General features: G+C 51.8%; 1 protein-coding gene across 1 annotated transcript in view, besides 2 other annotated features; it reads right to left on the bottom strand.

Annotated features, from left to right (window-relative positions):
* Positions 1–18,358, bottom strand: part of KCNG2 (potassium voltage-gated channel modifier subfamily G member 2) — a 102,163-nt gene that overhangs the window by 80,618 nt on the left and 3,187 nt on the right. The window lies entirely within an intron of this gene.
* Positions 1,963–2,462: an enhancer, noted in NCBI's record as "H3K4me1 hESC enhancer chr18:77577021-77577520 (GRCh37/hg19 assembly coordinates)". NCBI's record gives its function as "activates a minimal SCP1, AML or CMV promoter by ChIP-STARR-seq in naive H9 embryonic stem cells {active_cell/tissue: H9 hESC(naive)}" and the evidence as "EXISTENCE:reporter gene assay evidence [ECO:0000049][PMID:30033119]".
* Positions 2,463–2,964: an enhancer, noted in NCBI's record as "H3K4me1 hESC enhancer chr18:77576519-77577020 (GRCh37/hg19 assembly coordinates)". NCBI's record gives its function as "activates a minimal SCP1, AML or CMV promoter by ChIP-STARR-seq in naive H9 embryonic stem cells {active_cell/tissue: H9 hESC(naive)}" and the evidence as "EXISTENCE:reporter gene assay evidence [ECO:0000049][PMID:30033119]".

Genomic DNA, 18,358 nt, shown 5'->3' with positions numbered 1-18,358 from the left:
CTGCCAGGAGGGTCCGGTGCCCAGGGTGGTGCCAGGTGGGACAGGTGCTGTGGGGACCCCAGGCCTGGCAGCAACAGCTCTCCCTAGAGACCCCCAAATCTGTGCCCTGAGGCTCAGCCTCACCCGTACAGCCACCAGGAAGGGTCCCTCGGTTGGTGAGGCTGCCCTCCCTGTGCCAGCTGGGCTGAGGCTGGCCCGCCTGAGCTGCTCCGTGGTGTCCTGGGCTGCACCCGGGTAGGGCCTGCCTGGTGTCTCTGCAGGCTGCCGGCCTTCTCCCTCTGACACGTCCTGGGTGCCCTCGCCGGCCTTGGTGAGCAGTGAGAGGGGTCCTATCACCCCATAGCTACCGTGGAGCTGCTGCCTCCTCTGCTGTTGCGGAACGAGTCTCTCTGCTCTTTCTTCTTCCCTTATTTTTGTTTTTTTCATCTCCTGATGCTATTCTTAGATGTCTGTTTTCTCATTCAACACGCAAATGTTTGTGGAGCCCCCAGCAGAACTGGGCACTGTGTCGAGTCCTGATGCCTCTCGGACATTAGTCACCAATGGCCGCATCTCACAGGCGAGCTCAGTGCTCGGCCAGACCTGCGGACCTTCGGCTCTTCATGGCTGCCGGGTGCTTCTGGTGGCTGGAGCTGCCAGGGGCCCCCTTTGCTGCCTGGGAATGAGTCTCCCCTAAAGCAGCCCCAAAGCCCCCACGGAGCACCCTGCTGGAAAGTGCCTCCCAGTCATTTCTGCCTCAGGACACGGACGTCTCTCGCAGGTACGAACTGATTTCTGGGCGGTTCCTTATTAATCCTAAATCTTCAGACCAGAGAGTGCCCAGCCCTTGAACGAGCAGTTTCCGCATCGGAGATGCTGGCGGGAGGGACTGTCATACATGGTGACCCGACTGATGGGCTGGGGTCATTTAATTTTTATAGAATTTAACTGTGACAGACTTCTAAAAATAGCTTCATCACCTGTCTCAGGAACATAATTCTCAGTTAAGATAGTTTCCTGACGTGCTGTTGCTTATTTGCTAGAAAAATCGAGGGGGCCAGGCAGCGGGGGAGGAGGGAGGGGCCGCCCTGGGGCTGGCTGAGAGTCTGCAGTCGACCCTGGCGCATCTCTCGCGGGCTGGCCAAGGTGGGCATGGGCCGGGCCTCCAGCCTCCACGCCCCTCTTGGGCTCCTCACCCGAGTGTGACCTGGTCTCTGGGGTCTCACTCAGCTGTTTCCATCTGTGCCTCCTTCTGGGAGGAGGGTGGGGGTGGTGTCTCCCGATCTGATGAGTCAAGCTTCCTTATTAGATCGCATTGCCTCTCCCGGGTGGCCACAGCAGCCACACATGGATCCAGGACAGGCACCACACCCACCCTCTGTGGCTCGTTCTTCCTGGCCTGAAGGTGCTGCCTCAGGGTCTGTGTTCTGCCTAGGGCCTTGGCCGTCTGTCCTGGGGCGAGGGGCAGGCTCCTGCCCACCTGGCGAGGAGGCAGCACCCACCCTGAGCCCTTGGGTGGCAGGTCCAGTAGGGTGTCCCCTTTCTCTGCACCCATGCACCTCAGGAAAGAGCCCAATTCACCACCTCACAGCACCCTCAGGGCACCCCCACCCCGAGACCTGGGCTTCCACGGGCTCAAACCAGGAATGAGAGAGGGGTCCTCACAGTCAGGTCCGAGGGTCTGAGAGTGAGTGGGGAAGGCGACGTGGGGCCCACCAAAGCTGTGAGGCCACAGGAGGTTGTGGCTAAAAACCATGCTTTCCCACCGAGGGGCAGCTGAAGGTGGGAGGTGTGGAGGGAGGGCAGAATGGGGCCTGCTGCCCCTCCACTGACTGTGCCCTCAGGGACAAGAGTACAGCTGTGTGTGACATGCATGTGACAACCCGCGTGTGTGACAGCCAGGTGTGACAACCATCTGTGTGAGAACTGTGTGTGCAAACCATGTGCAAACCACATGACAACCACATGTATGTGATAATCATGTGCAGCAACTGTGTGTGTGAGAACTGTGTGTGACACGTGTGTGACAACCATGGGTGTAACGGGTGTGACAACCATGTGACAGCCATGTGACACTGTGTCTGACAAGCACATCTGATAACGTGACAACCATGTGTGACAGCCAGGCATGACAACTGTGTGTGACATCCATGTGACAACCATGTGACAGGCATGTGAGTGGCGGCCATGTGGCAGCCGTGAGGCAGGCATGTGAGTGGCAGCCGTGTGACAGCTGTATGACAGCTGTGTAACATCCATGTGGCAGGTGTGTGACAGCCGTGTGGCAGCCGTGTGACAACCATGTGACAGATGTGTGAGTGGCAGCCGTGTGACAGCTGTATGACAGCCGTGTAACATCCATGTGGCAGCTGCGTGACAGCCATGTGGCAGCCGTGTGACAAACGTGACAGGCATGTGAGTGGCAGCCGTGTGACAGCTGTATGACAGCCGTGTAACATCCATGTGGCAGCTGCGTGACAACCGTGTGGCAGCCGTGTGACAACCATGTGACAGGCATGTGAGTGGCAGCCTTGTGACAGCCATGTGACAGCCGTGCCTTTCAGGCCATGTAAAGGGACCTGAGGCCGCTGCGTCTTTTGCTGCCGCCTCCATACAGCCTCAAGGCACTGGTTCTGCTCAGTAACACAATCGGTAACTTCTGGATTTGTGACCTGTTGTGTCTGGTCCCCGGTTTCTTTCTCTGCTAACCCCAGACTGGGCCCTCCACACTGCACCGTGGTGTCACTCAGGAAACAGCGAATGTTTCCCGATCTGCCACTCAGCCAGGTCGGCGAGAACATCGTCCCAGGAAAATTTCACATTTGTGAGAAACAGCAAATGACACGTTGCTCACACCATTTGCACGCCCTAATAGCCTTTTAATTCAATGTGAAATGGGCCCATTATCCATTTCTGGAAGAAAAACAGGGAGCTGGAATAACTCAAATGTCTCATTCCCACACCGTCCACATTTGGAAAACCAACTTTGAAGAAGTTTTATTAACAATCATCAAGGCATACAGGAAAGGGAAAAGAGCGCCCGTGCAGGGCTGGGGTGCCACCCCCACCCAGAGCGGAGCCCCCAGAGGGCAGAGAAGGGGGAGGGGAGGGGAGGGGAGGGGGAGATGGGCAGCCGCTCCGCTGAGAACAGACGTGCTGGGTCCTCCGCCGTCAGGACCCCGCTACCAAGTCCCACACCACTACAGCTGCTGCAGGGTCCCCCACGGCTGCCACCTCTGAGGAGGGAACTTGGGGGCCACCAAATACCCTGTCAGCAAGGACACCCCGAAATGCCACAGAGTCCCTCAGCCGATTCTGAACAGTGTGGCCTCATGAGGATTAAAGCCCAGGTCAGGGCACGGTATGTTTTGATGTTTCTTATTTTTCTCTACATCAGTTTGTCTAAACGAGTCTTAGATGTTCATCTGCATAAAAAGCAATGTTCCAATTAGTGGAAAAATGGAAAATCAGACAGTACAATAAAAGCAAAGAAAAAAATACCCAATCCCACCACCAGAAACAGCCACCATACGTTTTGCAGGACGTCTTTCCCTCTCGTCTCTGCATAGTTTTACGTGGTGGCCAAATTCAGTGTTTGCTCAGCAGTGTTGGCTGCCACCCCCCTGTGGCAGTGCAGCTCAGCTCCAGGGCGGTGGGTGCCATCGGGGCACACAGGCCAGCGGGGAGCCCCAGACTTGGGTTAGAACAGCTGCTTCAGGGAGCAGGGGACAGGGGACAGGACACTCACGCTGAAGGGCTTCCTCAGACCCCTTTCCTAACAGCCCCTCTTTTCTCCCTCCCCACGGGAAATCTGCTCCAGACAGAATGGTTTAGCAAGGGAGCAAGGTGGAGAAGTTGGGGGTTTGTGCTGTGGGCAGGGACAGCTGGGCGCAGGGCTCTAGAGCGAGGTCACGTCTTTGCTGAGCGGTGGTTCCTTCACTGACCTCAGGAATCCAGCAGAAATAAAGTTTTGATTCTTCTTTGATTCCGCTAGAAGCCATCACTGAACACTCCCCAACACTCTCATAAACCATTAAAGGATTTTTTTTTTTTTTTTTTTTTGAGGCAGGGTTTCACTCTGTCATCCTGGGACTGGAGTGCAGTGGTGCAATCTTGGCTCACTGCAGCCCTGACCTCCCAGGCTCAAGTGATCCTCCCACCTCAGCCTCCCAAGTAACTGGACTACAGGTGTCTGCTATCACACCCAGATAATTTTTTCTATTTTTTTGTAGAGAGAGCATCTCACTATGTTGCCCAGGCTGATCTTGAACTCCTGGGTTCAAGCAATCCTACCACCTCTGCCTACCAAATTGTTAGGATTACAGGCGTGAGCCACTGTGCCTGGATATAAGCATTTTGGTGGAAACTGCGTAATACCTCACCCTGAGGATGGATCTTAATTTACTTACATTTCCCTATTGTCAGACATTATTTTGATACTAAAGTTCCATGCTAGTTCATGAATACTGCAAAGAACATCCTTTTGCATATTAAATTCATTTTCTCTGGGAAGACTTCCTGACCCTAATCTGTTTATATTTGAAATTACACTACTAAAACATAAATGTATTTTCATCGTAAAAAAAAAAAAAAGCACACAGGGTAAAAGCACATGGCCATCCTCACCCTTCCCCCTTCAAAACAAATCCGCTCCCCACAGGTAACTACTTTTAAGGTGACTTATTTACCCAGAACTTCTACTAAGCCTTTATGCATATACATATACATTTTTAGAATTAAACCTTTTGAGATTAATAATAGATTAACATGCAGTTGCAAGAAACAATACAAAGGGATCCCCTGTACCCTTTACCCAGTTTCCGCCAATGGTGGCCTCTTGCAAAACTGCAGTACAATCTCACCGCCAGGATTGATGCTGACCCACGCAGGCAGTGTCACTCCTGCCACCCCCTCCCAGCTCTGTAAAACCCTGGCAGCCCCTAATCTGCTCTCATCTCTATAAGCTTGTCCTTTCAAGAATGCCGTGCAAATGGAATGGCAGAGTCTGATTATTTTGAGACTGGCTTTCTTCACACAGCATAATTCCCTGGATATTCATCCAAGCTGCTGTGTGTACCGATAACCCATCCCTTTCTACTGAGAGTATTCCGCAGTACAGAAGTGTGATCGTCGAACTATCACCTGTGGAAGGGTCTCTGGGACAATTCCAGTTTTTGGTTGTTAGTAATAACATTATGAAAATTTGTGTCTAGGTTTTTATGTGAATATATTTTCCATTTCTCTGGGATAAATGCCCAAGATCACAATTGCTGGGTCATACGGGAGTGACATGTTTAGTTTTATCAGAAACAGCCAAACTGTTTCCTAGAGTTGCTGAGCCATTTTACATTCCCAGCAAGGCATGAAAGGTCATTTCTCTGCATCTTTGTCAGCATTCGGTGTTGTCAATATTTTCTATTGATTTCAGCCACTCTGGTAGATGTGTAGGGGCACAGTGGTTTTAATTTGCATTTCCCTAAAGGCTGACGGTGCTAGGTGTCTTTGCACCTGCTTGTCTGCCTTCCATGAGTTTTCCACAGTGAAAGGTCTGTGCACACATCTTGTACATGTCTAACTGGACATGTTTTGAATATTTGTTTACCGGTGATTTAGAGAGTTCTTTATATATTCCAAACTTTGGTCCTTTAGTGAATACGTGGTTTGCAAATATTTTCTCCCATTCTGTAGTTTTACGCTTCATGCTCTTAAAATGTCTTTTGCAGGGCAGTTTTTAATTTTGATGAGGTCCAATTTATCAAGTTTACTTTTTATGGGTTATACCTTTGTTGTCAAGTCTAAGAAGGCTTTGCCTACCCCTGTGTCCCAGTGAATTTCCCCTATCTTTTCTAGAACTCTTATGGTTTTATGTTTACATTTAAGTCTGTGATCTGCTTTTAGTTGATTTGTGTAGCAGGTGGAAGGTTTAGGATAAGCTTCTCCATCCTCCCTCCACGCTACCCCACCCATGGATGACCAACTGCACCTACAACATTTCTTGAAAAGGCTTCAGATGTGGATTTTTTGTGGATGTTCTTTATCAAATTGAGGATCTAATTCTAGTTTTCTGGGAGTTTTTATTGTGAGTAGATGTTGGATTTGTCAAAAGCTTTTCTGCATCAATTAATATGATTGTATATCTCTTCTGTTGATATGGTGGAGTACAGTGTTTGACTCAGAATGTTGAACCAGACTTGTGTGCCTGGATTAAATCTCATTTGGTGCAGCAACTTTATTCATTGCTGGATTCAATTTCCTAATATTTTGTTGAGGGTTCTGCATGTGAATTCGTGAAAGATACTGGTCTATAGCTTTCTTTTTTTATTTTTAAATTTATTTATTCATTTATTTTAAGATGGAGTCTCACCCTCTCACCCAGGCTGGATTCCAATGGCGCGATCTCGGCTCACCGCAACCTCCCCCTCCTGGGTTCAAGCGATTCTCCTGCCTCAGCCTTGTGAGTAGCTGGGATTACAGGCACCCGCCACCACACTCGGCTAATTTTGTATTTTTAGGAGAGATGAGGTTTCACCATGTTGGCCAGGCTGGTCTCAAACTCCTGACCTCGTGATCCGCCCTCCTTGGCCTCCCAAAGTGCTGGAATTACAGGCATGAGCCACTGTGCCTGGCCTATTTACTTATTTTTGAGACAGAGTCTCGCTCTATCACCCAGACTGGACTACAGTGGTGCGATCTCGGCTCAGTGCAACCTCTGCCTCCTGGGTTCAAGTGATTCTCGCGCCTCAGCCTCCTGAGTAGCTGGGAGTACAGGTGCGCACCACCACGCCTGGCTAATTTTTGTATTTTTAGTAAAGATGAGGTTTTGCCATGTTGGCCAGCTTGGTCTTGAACTCTGGGCCTCAAGTGATCTGCCTGTCTTGGCCTCCCAAAGTGATGGGATTACAGGCGTGAGCCACCAGGCCCGGCTTATAGTTTTCTAGTTTTCTTTTTTTGTAATGTCTTTGTTTAATGTGGTCGCCAGGTATGGCTGACCTCATTAAACCTCACATTGAGTGAGGAAGGGTTCCCTTCTCTTCTTTGAATGTTTGGTAGAATGAATTCTTCTTTAAGTATTTGGTAGAATTTTCCAGTAAAATCACCAGGTCTGGAGATTTTTCAGGACTTTTTAAGAATTAATTCAATTTTGTAACATATTATTAATATTACTTTGAGACCTTTTGTCTCTTCTAATCTAAGCACTGGATGTTATAAACCTCCCCCAAGAACTGTTCCGACCGTATCTCACATATGCTGCTCTGCTGTATTTTCACTTTCATTCAGTTCTATGTGTTTCGAATTTCCCTTTGAGACTTCCTCTTCGACCCATAGATAATTTTAAGGCATGTTATTTAATTTCCAAGTATCTGGAGATTTTCCTGTTGTCTTTCTGCTTCCTGAATCTGTAGATCTATGTCTTTTGCCAAATCTGGGAGGTTTTGGGGGCATTCTTTCTTCAAATACTTTTTCAGCCCCACTCTTTCTCCTCTCTTTCTGGGGCCTGATGATACAAGTATTAATACTTTTGTTATCGTCACACAACTCCCTGTGACTCTCTGCCCATGCTTTCCAGTCTTTCTTCTCTCTTCTGTTGATGTTGGGTAATTTCTGTGGGTCAGGTTCACTAATTCCATCCAGCGTGATCTCCCCTTTACTGTTCACCCCATGCAGTCAGAGTTTAAAAAACTGTTGTTATATATTTCAGTTACGTGATTTCATCTTTTTCTTTTTTATATCTTTCATTTCTTTGCTAAGATTTTCTATTCCTTCATTTGTTTCAGGAAAATACATGATTGGTGAAGCATTTTAAACCCATCGTTGATTGGTGAAGCCTACTTTAAAATAGTAGTCATATAAACCAACATCTGATTCAGCTTGATGTTGGTGTCTGTTAATTGTCTTTTTTCATTTATGTTCTGGTTTTCTTGGTTCTTGGTGAGTGACTTTTTTTTATTGTATCATGGACATTTTGGATATTTATTCTCTTGTATGTGGAATCCAGTTGTCCCAGCACCATCTGCTGAAGAGACTATTCTTTCTCCATTGCATGGTCTTGGCACTCTCATCAAAAGTCAGCTGACCACAGATGTATAGGTTTATTTCTAGAATTGCAATTGTATTCCATTGATCAATATGTCTCTCCTTATGCCAATACCACACTATTTTGCTTACTGTAGCTTTGTAGTAAGTTTTAATAAATAGTGTGAGAACTCCAACTTTGTTCTTTTTAAAGATTTTTTTCACTTACTTTGGTCCCTTGTAATTCCATATGAATTTTAGCATCAGCTTGTCCATTTCTGCAAAAAGTCAGCTAGGATTTTGATAGGAATTGTATTGAATCTATAGATCAGTTTGGGAGTATTGCCACCTTAACAATGTTAAGTCTTCCTATCCGTGAACATGGGATGTCTTTCCATTTCTTTAGGTCTGTAATTTCTTTCAGCAATGTTCTGTAGTTCTCAGCATACAAGTCTTACACCTCTTTGGTTACATTTCTTGCTAGGGGTTTTACTCTTTTTGATGCTATAGTAAATTGTCTTCCTAATTTCCTTTCCAGGTTTTTCATTGCTAGTATACAACAACACGCTGAGTTTTGAGTATTGTTTGACTCTAAGTTCTGGTTTGTTTTTGTTTTTGAGAAGAGCCTGACTCATGCTTCTAAGGTTGGACAGTCCTCATCATTCAGAGACTGTGCATATATTTACTTCTAGTTTTTTTCTACGTTTTTTGGTTTGTTTTGTCTTTTTATACAGCATCTCACTCTGTCACCCAGACTGGAGTGTGATGGTGTGATTGTAGCTCACTGCAGCTTCAAACTCCTGAGCTCAAGTGATCCTCCCACCTCAGCATCCCAAGTAGCTGCAACTACAGGCCTGTGCCAGCACACCTGGTTAATTCTTTTTTTTTAGAGACAGGGTCTTGCTATGTTCCCCAAGCTGGTCTTAAATTTCTGAGGTGATCTTTCCACCTTAGCCTCCCACAGTGCTGGGATTCTAGGCATGAGCCACTGCATCTGGCTACTTTGTTTTTTAATTTTTGATTTCTACGTTTCCTGCCTTTACTCACCAGCACTCGGCATCAGTATTTGACATGAGATGGGACCAAAGCTGGGTTTGCCTGCCCTGTAGAGCTGTGCTGGGCAGCCCCCAGCAAACCCCCTCCGGGACTAGGCGTGGTGCTTCCCCCCTCCCCACTGATCAGAAATTCTCCAGTCTCATCTTGGTCCTCTTTGTCCACCCTCTCTTCTCTCTTTTCCAAGGCTTCCTTTTCAAGTTTCTCTTTTTGTCCCTTTCACCTGATTTTTTTCCTTTAGACTATTACCCACTCCCCCCTCCCACCGCCTCCATCTTCCCTGGCTTTTAAATCAGATTCTGCCTTTGCACATGAGAAGCCCAGCTGGGTGCTGACACAGGTTCTGAGGGATGCTCCCTCGAGGTTTCATCCTCATCGGCCCTTCCACCCAGGCCCAGCGCAATGGGCGGGCGGCTCCGCGAGGCTGGCCCTGTGGACGGCGCTGAGACCAGAACCCACAGCCAAACGCCAATGAGCACAGGACTCCGCCCACCAGCCCCACAACCCCATGAGCCCCGGAAAGTTGGAGCGTCACGATAGTGGGAGGAGAAGCTTTAAAACCGGCAACAATGAAGGAGACGCAGAGGGCAGCCACGGGCATTTGGCCACATTCTTGTTTTTTCTGGACGAGGTGACCACAGCTCCTAGTGTGCAGTAGGACGCCTGGGCTGCAGCATCCGAAAAGTACGTCTTGAGTGGGCGTGAAGATTGCCTTCTGGGGAGCGAGGTTTAGAACCGAAAGCTGCATAAGCGGCAGGTGCGCTGGGCACCCGGAACGTGGTGTGGTCAGTGAGGCCCCGGCAGCTCCTCAGGGCGAGGACTCTGGGACCGTAACGTGGAGTGTGGTCAGTGAGGCCCCGGCAGCTCCTCAGAGCGCGGACTCTGGGCCGGTAACGTGGAGTGTGGTCAGCGCGGCCCCGGCAGCTCCTCAGAGCGCGGACTCTGGGCCCATAACGTGGAGTGTGGTCAGCGCGGCCCCGGCAGCTCCTCAGGGCGAGGACTCTGGGACCGTAACGTGGAGTGTGGTCAGTGTGTCCCCGGCAGCTCCTCAGAGCGAGGACTCTGGGCCCATAACGTGGAGTGTGGTCAGTGTGTCCCCGGCAGCTCCTCAGAGCGCGGACTCTGGGCCCATAACGTGGAGTGTGGTCAGTGTGTCCCCGGCAGCTCCTCAGAGCGCGGACTCTGGGCCCATAACGTGGAGTGTGGTCAGCGCGGCCCCGGCAGCTCCTCAGAGCGCGGACTCTGGGCCCATAACGTGGAGTGTGGTCAGCGCGGCCCCGGCAGCTCCTCAGAGCGCGGACTCTGGGCCCATAACGTGGAGTGTGGTCAGCGAGGCCCCGGCAGCTCCTCAGAGCGCGGACTCTGGGCCCATAACGTGGAGTGTGGTCAGCGAGGCCCCGGCAGCTCCTCAGAGCGCGGACTCTGGGCCCATAACGTGGAGTGTGGTCAGCGAGGCCCCGGCAGCTCCTCAGAGCGCGGACTCTGGGCCCATAACGTGGAGTGTGGTCAGTGTGTCCCTGGCAGCTTCTCAGAGCGCGGACTCTGGGCCCATAACGTGGAGTGTGGTCAGTGTGTCCCCGGCAGCTCCTCAGAGCGCGGACTCTGGGCCCATAACGTGGAGTGTGGTCAGCGAGGCCCCGGCAGCTCCTCAGAGCGCGGACTCTGGGCCCATAACGTGGAGTGTGGTCAGTGTGTCCCCGGCAGCTCCTCAGAGCGCGGACTCTGGGCCCATAACGTGGAGTGTGGTCAGTGTGTCCCCGGCAGCTTCTCAGAGCGCGGACTCTGGGCCCATAACGTGGAGTGTGGTCAGCGAGGCCCCGGCAGCTCCTCAGAGCGCGGACTCTGGGCCCATAACGTGGAGTGTGGTCAGTGTGTCCCCGGCAGCTCCTCAGAGCGCGGACTCTGGGCCCATAACGTGGAGTGTGGTCAGCGAGGCCCCGGCAGCTCCTCAGAGCGCGGACTCTGGGCCCATAACGTGGAGTGTGGTCAGTGTGTCCCCGGCAGCTCCTCAGAGCGCGGACTCTGGGCCCATAACGTGGAGTGTGGTCAGTGTGTCCCCGGCAGCTTCTCAGAGCGCGGACTCTGGGCCCATAACGTGGAGTGTGGTCAGCGAGGCCCCGGCAGCTCCTCAGAGCGCGGACTCTGGGCCCATAACGTGGAGTGTGGTCAGTGTGTCCCCGGCAGCTTCTCAGAGCGCGGACTCTGGGCCCATAACGTGGAGTGTGGTCAGCGAGGCCCCGGCAGCTCCTCAGGGCGAGGACTCTGGGCCCATAACGTGGAGTGTGGTCAGTGTGTCCCCGGCAGCTCCTCAGAGCGCGGACTCTGGGCCCATAACGTGGAGTGTGGTCAGCGCGGCCCCGGCAGCTCCTCAGGGCGAGGACTCTGGGACCGTAACGTGGAGTGTGGTCAGCGCGGCCCCGGCAGCTCCTCAGAGCGCGGACTCTGGGCCCATAACGTGGAGTGTGGTCAGCGCGGCCCCGGCAGCTCCTCAGGGCGAGGACTCTGGGCCCATAACGTGGAGTGTGGTCAGCGCGGCCCCGGCAGCTCCTCAGAGCGCGGACTCTGGGCCCATAACGTGGAGTGTGGTCAGCGCGGCCCCGGCAGCTCCTCAGAGCGCGGACTCTGGGCCCATAACGTGGAGTGTGGTCAGCGCGGCCCCGGCAGCTCCTCAGGGCGAGGACTCTGGGCATATAACATGGAGTGCCCGTCAGTGGCGCCGGAGCAACTTCTCAGAGTGCGGACTCTGGGGCCGAGGCTGAGGTGGGGGCTTCACAGCTGGACTTGTTTCTTCAGCGTGTGCTGCGGCGGGAGGGAGGAAGGGCTGGCCCAGGCGTGAGAGCATTAAGAAGAGAGAATTAGTGAGCCTGGGCCACGTACATGGGAGTCACACCAGTTTCTCATCTGTAAAATGGAGTGAATGCACGAGCGCAGAGGCGTTCTAAAAATCCCGGTGGGGTGACGTGTCAGAGCAGTCCGCGCCGCTGAGGTGGTCACTGAGCGCTTGCTTCTCTTGTGAGGGCGCTGGGTGCTCGGGTGTTTACGGTAGAGCAGAAAGGCTCATCATCTATGTCCTGGGGCAGATGCAGAGAGCGTCGGCAAGGTGAGGAGGGCGTGAGGTTTGCTCGCGGCACCCCAACACGAACAGGCTCAGACGGTGCATCTCCCTCAGAGGACCTCACTTTCATGCAAAAACATCAGACTACGCGACGAGCTCCCAGTATCCCTGAGCCACCCACTCGGAACCCTCAGTCCATCTGCATGTGTGACCCTGAGGTGCAGACAGATGCAGGCAGGCTGAGGTGGGTGCTGACCCTCGCTGGCCAGACCAAACCCTCCCGGGGTCAGTTTTCTCCTCCACAGAGGTCTGTCCAGCTCAAAGGTGCCCCTGAGCTCTCTGCAGCCCAAGGCTTCAGGCTATTTCTAACATTTAAACATGAAGAAAGATGAGGAAGTTTGCCCCTGGTGGAAATCTGAGACCCCACACAGACCCTAGATCCATGAGTAAGGGTGGAAAGAAAATTCCATGTATGCATTTTCTCTTTCTAGCCTTAAGTCAATGCAGATTTTTGAAAACTGCCCTTGAAATGAAATGGAAAGAATGTTATTTTCTTCTTTATTAATTTTGCGTGGAGTGGTTTTGAAGCCCTTAGTTCTGGTTTTATTTGAGAAAGCGTCACCATTACAGTCTAAAAAGGAAAGCTTCATGCACTAAAAAGGAGAGAAAGAGGCCAATTCATCAGTAAATCAAAACACCCTAAGGAAGAGTTAGAGAATCCATGTTCTGATGCTTCCTCCTAGCAAGTATTAATTTTACCAATTTTTTTCTAAAAACCATCATTTGAGAGATAAAAGACAACCTCTCATTCTAAAGTGCTTTCTTCTCAAGGCCTGGCTGGAGTTAACTGAAGCATTTGAAGGATCCTAGAATAATTTCCATAACTCAGGGGCCCCCAGCAACCAGTGAGACCATGTCGCAGGCCATGCAGAGCACGGTTCAAGAAACACCCATGAGACCATCCACTACAAACTCTCAGGGGGCTTGCTGATGGCCCCACACCCCAAACCCTGACACAGCGGCCTTGTCTGAGACCATGAATGCTCAGGGGGCTTCCCGATGGCCCCATGCCCCGACCCCCGACACAGCGGCCTTGCCTGAGACCACAAACGCTCAAGGGGCTTGCTGATGGCCCCACGCCCCAACCCCCAGCACGACGGCCTTGCCTGAGACCACACAGTGGCTTCCATGTGAGCTTCGTGGGCTGGATGCCTGGCTCTCAGCCCCTTTGAATGAGGGACCACTGAGTCCCACTGGGCGAGATTGAGACCTGCTGTCCTGCACCCTGGCAGGGAGAGGACAGACTCCCACCACCTGTGTGGGCTATCCCAGCCGCCTCCTTCCTCTGTCACCCTAACGTCCCAAAGCTCTGTGTGAACAGATGCAAGCTCGGGCCTGGCTGGATCAATCCACCTGTCACTCCCTGGGGCCTTCACTCCAGTCTCTCATCATTTTCCTTTTTTCTTGGCTCTGCCCTGTCCCCTAGGCGCGTGTGTGTGCACGTGTGTGTGTGTGTGTGCATGTGGACCTGCGTCTGTCTATATTTCCTCCTCCCCCACAACTAGACTCTAGATTTTAGCAGGTGGAGACATTTTTCTAGCTCTAACTCAGCACAGAATCCAGCTCACACTCAGAAACATCTGCTAATTTAACTTCCTCTGGCCCTGCAACCACACATGGTGGATGAGGCCGTCAGGTGAAGAGGCTGCAGCCCTGCAGGGCGCCAGGTGGTACATGGCCACCAGGACCACAATGAAGACCCGAAGGCGAGAAATGTGACAAACAGTAGACAGGAAGCCACTAAGATCATCACTGAGAAACAGACGATAGAAGAAAAAAAAAAGGCAATGGAGAAAAACATTCAGCCTTAGCCAGACATCATCAAGTGCAGTGTTTTCTAGAAACTCGACCTGTAGCCAGTGCACTTTTGTGTGGGTGCAGCCAGCAGGGCCCAAGTCTGGAGGAAGCTCCGCAGGTGCCGGCCTCATCCCGAGTGCGCGGCAGGCCCTCCTCTTACACCTCCTGCCACGCGTGTGTTTCCTAATGACCATGTATCACTTTTACAGCAAAAAGCCATGTATTTGGAAAATTGAGAAGAGGTTAAAGCACTGAAATGCAGTGCGGTGAGGCGGAGAATGAGAAGGATGCATCTGGCACAGCTTTCCCGAGAAACGACCTGGCATAATGTGTAAGACCTTAGTGTTTCTAACTTTTGACGATATGCAAAGTTTCTTCAAAGATGTATCTACAAATACGTCCATGACAGTGGTATTTGGAACATCAACAAACTGGAAACAACCTACATGGCCAATAACAGGAGGACACAGAAACAGAGTTTGATAAATCCAAACAAAAGGATGCTTTCAATATAATATGATGTGAAATAACCCCAAACATGTATGAGAGCCTTCACCCGTATGTGTGTGTGCGTGTGTGTGGTCATTCTATAAATACACATTGAAACTATCCTAATGTATTAGCAGCTATTACCTCTGGACAGTTGCAATCTTACGCAAGATTTTTTAAAAGTAATTTATACTTCTTTTTAATTTTCATTTCCAAGTCTTCTGTGATAAAAGTGTACTGCTTTTAGAATGTGAGAAAAAGCAATAAAAGGCATTTTAAATTGCATTTGTTGTACCTGGAAGCCTGAAGAGGCCCTCCACTTGTTCCCGTGGGCTCACTGTTGGCTTCTTTTTGATGCCACATTCCCTTTGGTGTGAAATGATTTCTTCAGAGGCCGACAACCACGGTTCACATCAAAGAGCATCAGCCCAGACTTGACTGAAGCACAGACTCCAGGAAGCAGCGGTGCGTCAGCAGCTCTGGGGCTGGGGTGTGTTTCTGCACCTTGGCTCAGGACCGGCCACGGGTGCACCTGAGCACCCATGGGAGGGCCCCCCACAGCCACAGCCTGTCATGGGAAGGACCTGGGCCTCTGACGCAGCACTGGCTCCAGCCAGGAGTCCCAGGTGTGTGGCCTGGGTGCTGAGTCCCCCCTGGAGCCTGGTGCAGCACCGGCCGGCAGGAGCTCAGCACACCGTGTGCATACCCCATGCAGTGATCAGTGGGTGCTGACGGGCAGAGTCCAGCAGGGCCAGGGTCCAGCGGCTGTGGCTGGTGCCTTCCGGCCTGGGCAAGAAGAACACGCTCTCAAATGCCCTATTCTTGTAGCCTTTGGGAAACAGGTCACATAGGCCTGCAGTGAAGGTGGCCAGATTTAGGGTGGGGTTGAGCAGTGCCTTTCCATGGGGCCTCGGTACAGAGAATGGCACAGACCCCGAGGTGGCAGGTGCTCTGGCCACCCCATGATCGTGCTCCCAGGTCTGGAGGCATTCAGTGCCATGCAGCACTTTTATAAGGAACAAGATCCCCATGTTGAGGAATAATCTGCCACCAGCAAAGGACGGGCCTGCTGCAGGCTAGAGCTCCCTGAAGGTGAGATAGGAGTGACACGGCCAGGCCAGGCCTAAGATTCTGATCCACCGGCACCAACCCCGGAGAAACCAACACGGAGGCCTCAGCATGGCCCCGGGGCCATCACAGTGAGGAGAAACTTGGAGGCAGCCCAGTCTCAGGCACCTGCTGGCATCCTGGAACCTTGGCCGGGACTGGGGCCTGTGGTCGGGAGACGCAGGAGGGCCCCGGCTGAGCTGTGAGGGCTCCTGGACAGGAGGGCAGGCTCCCTGCTGGGGCGGGATGGGAGAAAACGCCTCCTCCGTCAGCCCAGCAGAAGCCTTGGACCACAAGTGGTGAGAATCACGGCCAGCCCTGCAGGTTCTCAGGGAAGAAACACGATCGGAGCCCCCAGAATCACAGGCCCCCTCGTCGGTCCCCAGCACTGCACACCCACGCCTAGCCACTGTTTTCTTCACCCTAGAATGTTTCCGTTTCTAATTTGGCAAGTATTAAAGAAGCCAATGATACATATTTCCTATCTTCCCTCTTCTAGAAGATGTCTTTTCTTTTGGCAGAAAACAAGGGAAAATTAAATCAAGGAAATTTGTTCACAGTCAGAAACTGTCATCTTGAAGTGGCTGTGAACCTCCGGGAAGAAGAACTGGAGGCCTAGAGGTGAGGGGGCTGGCCCTGCCCTGTGACTACAGAGGTGAAAGAGCTGGGGGCCTGGAGATGAGGGGGCTGGCCCTGCCCTGTGACTACAGAGGTGATCAGGCAATCTCATGAGTGTTAACTATTTTTTTTTTGAGACAGAGTCTTGCTCTGTCACCCAGGCTGGAGTGCAGTGGCGCGATCTCGGCTCACTGCAAGCTCCGCCTTCCGGGTTCAAGCGATTCTCCTGCCTCAGCCTCCCAAGCAGCTGGAATTACAGGTGCCTGCCACCATGCCCGGCTAATTTTTGTGTTTTAGTAGAGATGAGGTTTCACCATGTTGACCAGGCTGGTCTGAAACTCCTGACCTCAGGTGATCTGCCCGCCTCAGCCTCCCAAAATGCTGGGATTACAGGCGTGAGCCACCGCACCCAGCCAAGCGTTAACTTTTAATGCATTTTATTTCATCAAAGCATTTTCACTCCATTGCATCAATTGCTATGATGTTAAATAAAATGTACCGATATAAAACTTGTCATAGAATTTTTTCCTGTTAATCTGCACACAAAGACATCCCCTCCAAAAGAACAGGAAAAAAAAAAAAGCCAGGAACTCTCCTCCCAGCTGTAACAGATGCACGCTAGAACCACTGTACGCTCAGAATCTGTTATCTGCCAGGTTGGGGGTGGCTCAGGTGTGCACACAGGGGTCAGTGCCAGGAAGGGTGTCCTTGGGGTGTGAACCTGAGCTGGAGAAGGAAGGCAGGGGAGCCAGCCAAGTGTCTGCTTAGCTGTGGGTGAAGAAGTTACAGCCAGACCTTCCCCACTAGGGCCGATGCTGCAGCGGCCGGGCTGGGACAGATGTCGAGGCCAGGCTCTCCGGACCGGAGCGGCACGGCTGGGACAGGTGTCAAGGCCAGGCTCTCCGGACCAGAGCAGCACGGCTGGGACAGGTGTTGAGGCCAGGCTCTCCGGACCGGAGCGGCACGGCTGGGAGAGCCGACCTTCACTGCTCCAGGGTCCCCAGACGCCCCTCCATGAGCCGCGTCCACCTGGTCTTCTAAGTGCTTTTTGAACATTTCTAAACCGTAGAGAAAAGGTGAAAGGATCCCTTTAGCTGTCTGTATTTGGGCAGCTCTTTCCATGATTTTAAAACCCACAGTGAGAAAAATATTTTATGCTGTGACCAGGAACACACAAAACTAACTGCACAGTGTATGAAATGCTCATATTTTCTGTCTATTCCATCTCACTATGAAAACGCAAGTCACATCCACAAATCACCATTTCCAAAACTTCTCAGAGATGAACGTCATGTAGGATATGTGCTAAGAATCAATTCCAGGCCCACCCTGACCCACCACCTGGGACCCCTGGCGAAGGGGTCCCCAGAGTCCCTGGCTAAGTGGCTTCCCATTAACCAGGTGATGAGTGTGATGAGAAACGCGGGCAATGAATCCCTCCATGCGAGGGCGGGGACACGGGTGAGAGCACCCTGCTGGGGGCACAGGAGCCCCTCTGTGTGCCGCACCCAGGAGCTCAGCCAGGAACAACTAGGACCACACAGCCTTTGCCACTGCACTAATCCTATGCAAGAATACATTTGCCTCTTCGGGCTGGAATTTAGTAAAAACTGCTGCCACATTCAGATCAGCCTGAAGGTTTCTGAAGCTACACTGGGCCCCATAATTCTAGCCTTTGATTTCATGTGCTTACTACTCACGTCTAATATAAGATTTAAACTCCATCGCTTAACTATCTGAGAAGGTTAAAAATATCCAGAAGGCCATTAAACTCTGGGAACTGCCTCGGAGGGCTCCCGGGCCCAGCATGTGCGTCCCCTCCTTGCCGGGCCTGGGTGAAGGGTGGGCAGTGCGGGGCAGGTGTGGCCCCTCCACAGGCCCCGGCTGAGGAAACCCAGCAGGGATGGAGGACCTGGACCTGCTGGACTAAGAGATGTGAGGATCCCCTCGGGGGAGGAGGACGCAGAGCTGGCGAGGCCTGAGGCCTTCACAGGTACCGGTTCTCACACAGTCTCAGCTTCCTTAATTGACAAAGGCAACATAAAGGTCTTCTGCGCTATTTTTATATTACATTTCAATTAGCCTTTTTCTAAACTCATAATCAAATTAAAATACTGCATGGTTTCTTTTTGAGGGAATGTATTACTGATTTTGACACAGGTCAGGGCGTCATCATTCAGTTCAACC

The sequence above is a fragment of the Homo sapiens genome, chromosome 18, assembly GCF_000001405.40.
Source record: "Homo sapiens chromosome 18, GRCh38.p14 Primary Assembly".
In the NCBI taxonomy this organism is placed as follows: Eukaryota; Metazoa; Chordata; class Mammalia; order Primates; family Hominidae; genus Homo; species Homo sapiens.
The sequence above is the reverse complement of the archived record's forward strand: the minus strand, read 5'-3'. Positions and strand labels throughout refer to the sequence as shown.